The 12,760-nt window shown below is 39.0% G+C and overlaps 1 protein-coding gene across 22 annotated transcripts in view; it reads left to right on the top strand.

Annotated features, from left to right (window-relative positions):
* Positions 1-12,760, top strand: part of TPRG1 (tumor protein p63 regulated 1) — a 328,078-nt gene that overhangs the window by 185,506 nt on the left and 129,812 nt on the right. For 3 of the 22 annotated variants that reach the window (XM_005247382.6, XM_011512735.4, XM_011512734.4), the window contains exon 1: positions 4,259-8,254. The exons of 17 other annotated variants lie outside the window; for them this stretch is intronic. In XM_005247382.6, the coding sequence (XP_005247439.1) occupies positions 8,240-8,254 (15 nt within the window). In that variant the 5' untranslated portion in view covers positions 4,259-8,239. Of the gene's footprint in view, positions 1-2,765; positions 8,255-12,760 lie in introns of those variants that run through there. 2 more of the 22 variants (XM_005247388.5, XM_011512736.4) reach the window with 1 other exon arrangement.

Consider the following 12,760-nt stretch of genomic DNA (forward strand, 5'->3'; position numbering starts at 1 on the left):
TAAATAATAGAACCTTATACAGTCACTATTATGTCATTATAGGAATTTATTTATTTATTTCCAGCTTTATTGAGGTATAATTGACAAATAATAATTATATATCTTTATGGTGTACAATGTGATGTTTTGACATATGTATACATTGCAAAATGATTACCTCAATCAAGCTAATTAACATACCCATCACCTCACTTAGTTATAATTTTTTGTTTGTGGTGAGAACATGTAAGATCTATTCTCTGAGCAATTTTCAAGTATAAGAAAATTATTAACTAAGTAGAGTAGCAACTACTACTACTAGTGGAAAACAGGCTTGGAAACAGAGTGACTTTTTATCGGGGAACCTGCCCCAGTAGTCACGTAGGTTCTTTTCCATTTTCCCTAAGCGTCAGCCAGTTTGAGAAATAAAGGGACAGAGTACAAAAGAGAGAAATTTTAAAGCTGGGCGTCCGGGGGAGACATCACATGTCGGTAGGTTCCATGATGCCCCGCAAGCCACAGAACCAGCAAGTTTTTATTAGGGACTTTCAAAAGGGGAGGGAGTATACGAATAGGTGTGGGTCACAGAGATCACATACTTCACAAGGTAGTAGAATATCGCAAGGCAAATGGAGGCAGGGCAAGATCACAGCACCACAGGACCGGGGCAAAATTAAGATTGCTAATGAAGTTTCGGGCACCATTGTCATTGATAACATCTTATCAGGAGAAGGGTTTTGAGAGCAACCAGTCTGACCAAAATTTATTAGGCAGGAATTTCCTCTTCCTAATAAGCCTGGGAGTGCTATGGGAGACTGGGGTTTCTTTCACCCCTACAGTTTTGATCATAGAAGACGACCACACCCAAGGGGGCCATCTATAGACCCACCCCCAGGCACATATTCTCTTTCCCAGGGATGTTCCTTGCTGAGAAAAAGAATTTAGTGATATTCCTCCCATTTGCTTTGGAAAGAAGAGAAATATGGCTCTGTTCCACCTGGCTCACCAGAGGTCAGAGTTTAAGGTTATCTCTCTTGTTTCCCAAACATTGTTGTTATCCTGTTCTTTTTTCAAGATGCCCACATTTCATATTGTTTAAACACACATGCTCTACAATTTGTGCAGTTAACGCAATTATCACAGGGTCCTGAGGGGACATACATCCTCCTCGGCTTACGAGATGACAGGATTAAGAGATTAAAGTAAAGACAGGCATAGGAAATCACAAGGGTATTGATTGGGGAAGTGATAAGTGTCCATGAAATCTTCACAATTTATGTTTAGAGATTGCAGTAAAGACAGGTGTAAGAAATTATAAAAGTATTAATTTGGGGAACTAATAAATGTCCATGAAATCGTCACAATCCATGTTCTTCTGCCATGGCTTTAGCCAGTCCCTCTGTTTGGGGTCCCTGACTTCCCACAACAACTTTTGATGAACTTAGAGCTCTATCAGTTACTAACCGTGTGACCCTGGGCAAGCTCCTTAACCCTCTGAGGTTCAGTCTCTTAATCTGTCAAATGAGGATAATTAGAGTACCTGAACCATGAGGCTATGATGAGTTTGCAATGAGCCAATGCAGATAAAACCATGTGCATAGCACATGCAAGTGCTTCATAAGTATTGCCACCATTGTCAATATTGGTATCCTTTTATGTATCAAGTGTAAAAGGCAGTTTACGAAACAACACTGATAGCATAACTCCATTGTTTAAGTAGAAAAATGATATTATGTCCAGATAAATATAGAAAAAGTCTGCAAGTATATACAGAAAAATTATTTACTTTCATTTTCCCTGCATAGTGGGCTTAAGGGAAGATTTCTTTTTCCTTCTTTTGCTCTTATGTGTGGTCTACAACATAATAAGAAAAATTAAATGAGGCCAAATAATTATTAAGATCAATCTCTCTAAAGGAACATTTAGCAAAGCTGTAGCTCTCTGCCTGTGTTATCACTGTTGTCCTCATTAAAATCTTCCCGTACCGTCATCATCAAGGCCACGTATCCTGCAGTTGGCAATGTTAGACTGATTACCTCTATGTTCTTCTTATTCCTCTGCCCTTGTGCTTCTGCCATCCCCTGCATGGTGTACATCATACACATTTATTAAGTATCTATTCTGTTCAGAACACTCAGTGTTAGCAGTGGGGGTGAGATTCGCAACAGCAGAGCGGATGGGATCTTACCTAGTGGAGCTTATAGTTCCCTTGGAGATAAAAGGCACTTACCTTGGCGTGCGTGTATTGTTTCATCTTGTTGTGGAAGTCTGTCTGTCCCAGTGGGTTTGGTGGTTAGGCAAAGCCTGTTAAGGAGGTAGGAATGAGTTAGCTCAATATCCTTATTTGGTGGACTTTAAAAACTAAGTGCATTTTCATGTCCTACACATACAGTGATCTCTGACCTGGATGTAGTCCTTCTAAGAACCTTGTGTCACTATTATCTTTGATGGGTTTTTTCTTCTATGATTACTTGCTTATCTGTCACCTTTGAAGGTGCCAGCTTGGGTAATCTTTTTTTTTTGAGACCTGATCTCACTCAGTTACCCAGGCTGGCTGGCAGGAGTGCAGTAGCACAATCACGGCTCACTGCAGCCTTAACCTCCCAGGCTCAAGCGATCCTCCCACCTCAGCCTCCCAAGTAGCTGGGACCATGGGAATATGCCACTCCAGCTGGGTATATTTTTGAAATTTTTTGTAGAGATGGTGTTTTGCCATGTTGCCCAGGCTGGTCTCAAACTCCTGGGCTCAAGCGATCCCCCAATCTCGGCCTCCCAAAGCACTGGGATTACTGACGTAAGCCACTGCACCCAGCCTGGCTCAGTTATTTGAAACAATATTTACGACATTTTTTTTTCCTGTCAGTCCTAAGGATTATCTACGTGCAAAGCAAAGAACACTAGAAAATGTAGAAAGTTATAAAAAAAGAGAGTAAGAATAATCCAGAAGCCAGTGAGCCAGAGATAATATTCGCAACATTTTGCAGCATGTGTTTCCAATGCATATGTGCATTGGATGAATTATTCTACATCTTTTAAACCTTCTCCTTCCAGAGATAAGCCCCCTTTAACATTTTAATATGTTACTTTCTAACATTTTTCTTTGCTTATTTGTATATTTTTCAGGATTTGAAAAACCATATGGTATGTATAGCTTAGGACCCTACTTTTTCACAAAGCATTATTCTGTAGATTTTTATTTGTCATTTAATTGTCTTTAAAAATATGATTTCCAAGGATTGTATTATACTCCATGATAGATGTGCATACCTCATGTGATACAATAAGAACCTTTAATTTTAAATATTTCCAATTTAAATTTGATCCTTAAGTCATTAATGCTTCTACTAGGCTCTAAGCTTTAGGCAGCAAGTTATTTTTTAAAAATTTATCTTTGTAGTTGTATAGTCAATAGACAAAGATAAAATCTTTGTTCTATGTGAGATAAACACTAAATGGAAGTTTTCACTATGTAAAAAATCCAGAAAGCTATGACTGGGTTATTTCATAAACTGGAGAAAAGTCAATGATGACCCGAAATGTTGTGATTGGTGAGGGTGAGAGGGGAATTTTTCTTGGATTGACCATGTCTAGCTGGAAATTTGCCCAGGGTACGAAGGCTGGTCCTCTCTGAAGTGCTGATCTCATTGCTGGGAGGGAACAGCTAATGAAACCAGACAGAAAGTCCCTACCATTCGATGTTTTTTTCCTTGTTGAATTAAAACAAAACAAAACAAAAAACCTAGTAACTTGTTTTTTCTGATTTCCTACCCTTGGTGCTCTTAAAGACGCAATTTTCTGCAAACATTTAACCATGAACTAGCACCTTTTGACTTACAGTAGGATAAAAATGATAAAAATAAATATATTCCGGCTCTTTTAGTCTTATTGATTTGGTATTTGACCTGTTTTATAAATGACCTGTAAGAGCTCCATCTTGTATTAGAATGAGGGCTCCACACCAGACCTGAGTAGATTCCTAGACCAGCATAATTAGAGAGAAAATTGAGATGGGGGCAAGTAGTTCAGTATTCTCCTAGTACATATGAAAAAAAAAAAGATAGCTAGAGAAGAAATGGATTAATGGATTATACTTGAACCTGGATTTCCTGATGCCTACTTCTTCAGGAATTCCCCACTATCGCTAGATTTCATATATTCTGCTCACAATTGTTCAGATTCCTCTAGCATAGATTCAGTCAATTATTAGACTTCAAACTGTTTTGAAATCCTATCATATTTTCTAGGCCTTTAGATTCATTTGTTCATCTAAAGTGTTTTTTTTTTTTTTTTTTTTTGAGATGGAGTCTCACTGTCACCCAGCCTGGATCACAGTGGCACCATTTCGGCTCACTGCAACACTTGCCTCTCAGGCCCAAGTGATCCTCTCACCTCAGCCTCCTGAGTAGCTGGGATCACAGATTCGCACCACCACACTTGGCTAATTTTTTGTACTTTTGGTAGAGACGGGGTTTTGCCATGTTGCCCAGGCTGGTCTCAAACCACTGGGCTCCAGCGAGCCTCCTATCTCAGCCTCCCAAAGTGCTGGGATTACAGGCATGAGCCACCCCGGCCAAGTTCATCTAACTTTTTTTTGTTTGTTTTTTGTTTTTTTTGAGATGGAGTCTCACTCTGTCACCCAGGCTGGAGTGCAGTGACACGGTATTGGCTCACTGCAACCTCTGCCTCCTGGGTTCAAGCGATTCTTCTGCCTCAGCATCCTGAGTACCTGGGATTACAGACCCCGCCACCACGCTCAGCTGATTTTTATTTTTTTTTTTTGTATTTTTAGTAGACACCAGGTTTCACCATATTGGTCAGGCTGGTCTCAAACTCCTGACCTCGTGATCCACCTGCCTCGGCCTCCCAAAGTGCTGGGATTACAGGCGTAAGCCACCGTGCCCAGCCTCATCTAATTCTTATACTGTCCTGTAAGATGTGTGGATCTACTTGACATTTGAGAAAACTGAGGCTGAGGGGTTTAAATTGCCACTCAAACTCAGGTAGCTGGTAAGTTGCAGAGCCCAGATTCAAGCTCAAGTCCTTCTGACTCCAAAGCTTTCTCTAATATGCTGGTCTATTTTGTGATAAAGGTATTGATTGCATGAAATGAATCAATTTTTATCTGAATTGCTTCTTACCCATTATCTTCTGAAAGCGTTGACGTAATTAATTCTCGAAACATTTGTGTCTTTGAGTTGTAGTGAATAATCTTGATATATCACCCACAATGTTGTATGTAAATCAAAAGTAAAGACATATTTCAGGCTCCAACGGAGGAAGTTATAATAAGTTGTCTGGTTCAGCAACTGATTGGCTGAACTCCCAAATGGAGTGAAAGCTCAAAAACTGAAAACAAGCAAGAATTGAACTTCTGCAGAAGTCAAAGAAATAAAAAGAAAAGATAATTGAAAAAAAGAAAAACTGTTCAGTGCAATATAAGTAATGTTACCTCTACTAGAGAACAGATGCATTTCAAGAAACACTGACATCAGAAAATTCATTCGAGAGTTAACAGACGTGAGTACCTTTAGGGATGTGTGCTGGGACATGGATTCCCTTTGGCCAGGCATTTTCTTTTGACCTCTTCTCAGAGAAAGGTGAGTTATGCTATGACTTCTAGCCCATTTGGCACAATGAAAGAGTAAAGGTGGAAAATATTTTACTCTGTTTTGTTTCAGACCAGCATTTTTGAGCCTGGCTTGTGTTGGGGCCCAAGTTCTAGGTCCGATGGGTGTGGAATCACTCGTCTGGATAGCCTGCCTTTACTATCCTGTCTCCCAGCCCTATGTTTAAAACAGTCACTGCCATCCTTCCCTTTTCCTCCTCCACATCACTTGCTGTAGTCTTTTGCTATAAGACTAGAATTTCTGCCAAGCCCTGTCCAGTCCATCTATAACTAAGGGCTTTGTTCTCAGATCTGTTCATTGGAAGTGTACTGGGCTTATCTCTAAGCAAACATTCCTCCCTCCCTCTTCCCTCATATAATTTACATAACAGGTTTGTAACTTCTTGGCCTGCATAGCACTTTCATAACTTCTTGTAAGATAAGCCTTGCCCAAGAGACACTGTCTGTCTCCATTCCTCAGAACTTCTTTTGACTTTTTTTCCTGTATGCAGCCTTTGCATATCAGTGGGCAGATAAAAGTCATTGACCAATAACCCAGTTATCTGCGTACAGAAAATAGTCTCTATTTGGGCATTAATTTTCATCTTCTCCTGACTTTTACTTTTGGAGATTTTCTGAAGGCCAAACTTTAATACATTTCGTTTACAAAATAAAATAGTTTTTTCCTTGATGGTGAAAGAGAAATCTGTAATGAAAATGTAGGCACCTTTTAGATTTTTGAGTATTTTTACTGGAACAAATGCTGTTTTTTTCTTATTTGTTACTTTTTATAACATTTGCATTGTAAAAAATTAGAAAATATAATTTTAAGACAACCTATAATCCCATTACCTAGAGAAAACTAATGTGAACATTTTCGTGGATAACCTTGTAAATGTTTTTTTATACATATCTATATTTTATTTTTGTAAAAACTACGATCATGCTATGTCCTTTTTATAGCTTGATTTAAAAAAAATGCCATAGATATCTTTCTATTGTATTTGTACAACGTTAGTTATAATGGTTATATAATATTCTACCTAAACTACATTTAGATAGTTGTCAATTGGTTATATAATATTCTACCTAAACTACATTTAGATAGTTGTCAATTTTCTGATATTATAAATAAAATAGAATTGTTATTTTAAAAAAATTGGAATAAGGGATATACTTGGATTTGCCCCTGGGAGATGATGAGTAAAAAAAAAATCTGGCTGGAAAGGTCACTTATTTCAAATGATTCCTCTCTTTTCACATGTACAAGTACACCAGAATAGCTTGTGATAATATGCTGGCTTGCCCCATTTATGTCATGGGACATAAATCTACAGTTAGATAACATTATTAGTTATGCAAAGGAACGTTCTTCAAGATACCTATCCCGGACGGGGTGTTGAACTAGCACATGAGGCCTCTCCTAAATTGAAGATTCTATATTCTGTCACTTCCAAATGGAGAGTTAGTTTTAGCTACTCTCTATAGCATTTTCTAATAAGTATATCCACTGATTATGCTTTAGTGGGAGAATTACAGAGATTCACTGTCAAACACTAATGGCATTTGAAGCCTGACATTACCTATTTTAGATGGGATGCAGGAGAAGAAATAAGGAATAATATGAAGTAGAAATAGATCTGATTATTATAGACTGGCTATAGCCCATTTAAAAGGGAAGATAGAGCTTCTCTCATAGTTAACAGGGAATACATTTGAGAGTCGCATCATTTAGGTGATCTCTTTAAGCACTATACAATGTCACCAATGAAGTTCTTAGATACAGAGATACTGCCAAACACTAATGCTGTGAACTAACCCACTTCTGGTGAAACCTATATCGAAAGAAAACTCTAAGGAATAGTCAGACTTATCCATTCACTTGAATTTCTCTGTTCACAAATAGGACATATTATATAAGCCACAGATGTTCTTTCACTGCCTTTATGTTCTGAAAAAATTCTCTAGAGGCAAGAATTGACATAGTAAGCATGTTCACAGGTGATGTGGGCAGCATCAAATTCTGGCCCTGTGAGCTTCAGTTTCTATCTGGTCTCCTTGGTCTTCTGGGAAGAATTGACACATCCCTGGTCTAAACACATCGCCTCTCCTCCCTGTCACCCCCCACATCTTGCCAATAATGTTAACTTCATCAAGATAGATAAAAGGTTTCCCTCAAATCTCTGGGCAGCCTCACTTTCTCTTTGGCATACTTTAGGAACTGCCAGCAGCCTCTGCACAGAAATTATTTTATTTTATTGCCTCCTACGTCTATGATAAGAATGCTAATAGCTCTTCACAAGATGCAGGATCAAGATACTTCATCATCTACAAAGTACTTTCACAACTTTTTTCATTTAATCTTCACAAAAATTGTGTAGAGTAAGCAGGCCTGGCATCAATGTGCATATTTTTATAGATAAAGAAGTTGAGAGGTATGATTACAACATACATGTACATTTAATATATAGAGATGGCATTACCAACCACTCTTCATAATGAGTTCTTTCATTAATCTTTCCCTGATCCATATTCCTACTCCCCTCTTAGCTGCTTTGTGATTGAGTCATACATTTACAGAAAGGCTGATCAAAACCAAACATTATCCCTTTGCAATGAGCCGGCTTTGAGATAAATATTCACAGAAGCAAGGAAATGCGAATATCACAGGTAGGTCTTTTAATTTTCTCAGGACATTTACTGTCTATTCTGGCTAATTTTGGTCATTGCTTATTCAGTAGTTGTAGCAGTTCACACGTAAATATACATGTATTCTTACTTTCAAATATGACCATATTTATACACATATGGTCATATATAATTTTATTTTCATATGTGCACATATCTTTATTGTTTTGTTTTCTTATGGAAATATAGAAAAATAAAGAGCTATTTGTGACAGATGTTATCGTTCTTCATCAGTCTTTTATCTAACTGCCTTCAGCAAGACAATATGAAAGTATTTTTTAATTTTCATTCTTTAGCATTCTGAACTGTCCACTTTTATTAAATCATCTTAGAATGAATCTGAATGTCATTTTTAAAACTACTTTCCTCTTCCCACATTTGTGCTCTGACCTTTATTACTTTAATGAGAGCTACCCCTATTGTTCTAGCTCTTTTGCCTTTTCTCTCTCCCTGGATGGAGCTCTCTGGATCTATTTAAATCTTCCTGGCATCTTGTAGAACAGGCTGAATTCTAGGTGGTAACATCCTAACCCAGGTGGAGTGGAACTGGGTCAAAGTAGCCTTAGAATGATATTATTTGGATGCCTTCTTGCATCTCATTATTTTCTCAGATTTGGTGTCTTGTTTAGCATTCAGCATTTTGGGAGCTTAATGTATATATTTCATCATTAAAACACAAATTATCCTTCAGTTACAGCCCCACAAGATGAGAAGTTAGCCACATCTATTTTTAAGACCTGGGCTCTCCTTCCTGGTCTTGTTCCACCCCTTTTGAATGCCTACTCCTGAATATTGCCCATTGGTTTAGATTAAGCCTCTTCTCTAGTTCCTTTATACCTAGATCCTCTTTCAGGGAAGACTCTGATATTCGTCACTTACTTCTCAGGATGGTTTCAGGCAGAAGCAAATGATTCCTTCTTCTGTCTGTCTCTAGTGATGCAAACATCTTCTGTGAAAGACATTATAACTGAACACACTGGGCTGCACAAAGGCTTACAGATTTTGTGGGGATCCAGGAGGGACAAATCGGGGCACAGGAAGCTCACCAAGCTCACAATTTACCCATGGAGCCCAGTCATAGGCAATAACTAAATAACTGGTTGACAGAAGATCATGATGCCTGAGAGCATAGAAAAATTGCATTTCTAAATTGCCATTCATGTTACATTTCTGAGAACTGTTAAGTTTGAAGCCAGGTTTAGAAGAAAGGATTTCAAATCTTCTCTTGTCAGTTCTAGTTTCATAATACCTGAAGAGAGAGACTCTCTTAGCTAAATTCCCTTTGCATTTTCTGTCGTGGAAGCTCCATGTAGTAAAGATATTTATTACTGATTCATTTGTTCAGCTAATACATAATGAATGCTTTCTATGTGCTCTACTTGGTGCTAAGGATACCATAGTAAATAAAACCTGGTCCCTAACATCAAGGAGCTCATGTACTAGTGAAGAGGATGTGAAAGTTAAGGCAAGCTAACAGGTAGTTGTAATGCAGTGTGATTAGTACTCAGTAGGCAAAAATTGAAAAGAGTAAAACTTAAGGGACATGAATTAGAAGGTCTTTATAATGATCCTCAAGAGATCAAATAATTTATGGTTATTGATGGATGAGAATTTACTCCTGTCATTCTGTGAATTGCTTTCTGGTTGTTTTGTGTATCCTTTGTTTCTTTCATTTTCTTTTATTGTCTATCATTGTGGTTTAATGGTTTTCTGTCATTATAAGGTTTGCTTCTTTTTTTCTTTCTCCTTTGAGTATCTGTTCTACCAGTGAATTTCAAACTTTTGATGTTTTCTTGATAGTGAATATTAACTTTCTGCCTCCAGTTGCAGGATTTCCTTGAGCATTTCTCATAAGTCCAATCTAGTGGTGATGAACTCCCCCAGTTTTAGTTTGTCTGGGAAATACTTTATTTTCACTTCATTTCTGAATGATAATTTTGCTGGGTATAGTATTCCTGGTTGTCAATAATTTCCTTTTAGCACTTTGAGTATATAATCTTCTTTTCTACCTGCCTGTAAGGTTTCTGCAGAGAAATCTGCTGTTTAGTCTTACAGGGATTCTCTTATATGTGACTTGATGTTTTTATTTTGCTGTTTTTAGAATTCTCTCTTTGTTTTTGACTTTTAATTTTTTTTTTTTTTTTTTTTTGAGATGAGGTCTTGCTTTGTCACTCAGATTGGAGTGCAGTGGCATAATTCCATTTCACTGCAAACTTGAACTTCTGGGCTCAAGCAAGTCTTCCACCTCAGCCTCCTGAGTAGCTGGGACTATATGTGCATGATACCATGTCCAACTAATTTTTAATATTTTGTGGAATTGGAGCCTTGTTGTGTTGCCCAGATTCTCTTTGACTTTTGACAGTTTGACTACACTGTGCTTCACAGAGAAACTTTTGGGTTTAATCTATTTGGGTACTTTTTTGCTTCCCAGATTTAAATATGCATATCTCTCCCCAGACTTGGGAAGCTTTCAGCTTTATTTTATTAGATAGGTTTTCCATACACTTTCCCTTCTCTTTTCTTTCTGGAACTTCCATGATACAAATATTTGTTCACTTAATAGTGTCCATAAGTCTTGTAAGCTTTCCTCACTCCTTTTCATTCTTAGTTCTTTTTTTTTTTCTCTGACTTTGTAATTTCAAATTACCTATCTTCAAATTCAGAGATTCTTCTGCTAGATCAAGTCTGTTGTTGAGGCTGTCTCTTTTATTAATCAACTTATTCAGAATACTGCGGGATTTCTGTTTGCTGCTTTATGTATGTCTACTATCTCTGTGCAATTTCTCATTCATACCATGAGTTGGTTTCCTGATTTTGTTGAATCGTCTGTCCGTATGTTTTTGGTTGTTTGTTTCTTGTTCCTTAAGAGGATTATTTTGAATTCCTTTTCCTGGCGATTCATTTATTTGTCTATTTATTGAGGTCGGCTACTAGATAATTATTATAATTTGTTGGTGACATCATATTTTCTTGCTTTTTCATGTTTCTTATTCATGTGTTGCTGTCTGTGCATATGGTCAATCATCTCTTGCAAACTTTCTACAATAGCTTTCATAAAGAAAGATTTTCACCTGCACCTGCTGTTGTTTTTTTTGCCTGCTGGTTGTGAAGGGTGTAGTGACCGTTTTTCTGCATAGGTGCAATGGTATGATCTCTGTGCAGCTTCTTTAGCTGTATTCAATGTCAGTAGTAAGTGTGGGCACCTCAGTGGCCTAGGCTGTAGAAGCCTGTGGCCATGACAGCATAGGTTGTTAATGTTCTAGGTATCAAGCGCTTTGGGGTTCTTCTCTCCTTACTTTTCCTACAGTGGAGAGACTTAGCCAAGGAGATCCCTTTTATTATCAGGTCTGACACAGCCTACAAGTAGCTGCAGTGGTGCTGGGTTCCAGGTACAGGTAATCATAGCAGCTGTGGTGCAAAGGTCCTGGGCTCAGTGTTACATGAACCTATTGTGACACCTAGGTCTTTGGCTGCAAGTTTTCTCTCTTTGGCTGGTTGAATACAGGTTGCCCACAGAGCCTGGATCTGTGACTCTGAGGCATCTCCTAACAGCTTGGGCTCAGGAGTCTGTGTCATGATTGTGATTCTACCCATGGGTGGGAGCTCAGAGTACTGGCACATCTGTGGGGAAAAGGGAGTGTCCTAGAGGTTTGGACCTGCAGAGCAGAGTATGGCTGCAATTTGGAAACCTGTGCCAACAGGGCTCAGTGGCAGCTTGAGTCCCAGGGAATGAGATACTGTGTAGTAGTAGCTATAGACCCTGGGATTTCAGGGCTCAGCAGTATCTCAGCCTCTGTGAGGCCAGGTGCAGTGGCAACAGTACCCCAGAACGGTGGAGCATGGCTATTATCTGAGCCCTGGAGCTGGGCTGGGGACAGCACAGTGATGACTTCACTCCCCAGGAAGAGGGGTGTCTCAGCAGCTAAGACACCACTCTAGGGGGCTAGTCCAGCTCCAAAGGTACTAGACTTATTTGGCTTATAAGGTGAGGTATCTCAGCTCAGCCACTGCTCTGTTTCCTTGGAGCATGGGGTACTATGTAAGCCCAACCCTGAGATGCAAAGCTGCTCAGCTTAACCAGGGCACTGATTCCCTAGGGGGTGATATGTTGTATCAGCTCAGGCCTGAGGGTATGGTGACTGTTCTGGGCCACCTAGGCACTGTTTTCCTGGGATGCAGGTTGCTGCTTCAGCTTAGGTACTGGGGTGCATGACCACTCTTGGTGGTCAAGGCACTGTTTCCTGGGATGAAGGGAACTACTTCAATTTAGACACTAGGGAGGTGTGGCTTCTCTTAGTGGCTAAAGTACTATTTCCCAAGAGGCAGAGTCCTGCTTCAGCTCTAGCTGAAAAGGCAGCGGGAGTGGTAGGTGAAGTGGCTTCACCTCTGCTCGACTCAACAGAGAAAGCTGTAACAGCTGATTGTGGCTTGGCTTGAGGATATTTGGCCACTGGTCTGCGGTGGTTTGGCAGTAGCTTAGCCTCAAGG

This window comes from Homo sapiens, chromosome 3 (assembly GCF_000001405.40).
Source record: "Homo sapiens chromosome 3, GRCh38.p14 Primary Assembly".
NCBI classification, from domain to species: domain Eukaryota; kingdom Metazoa; phylum Chordata; class Mammalia; order Primates; family Hominidae; genus Homo; species Homo sapiens.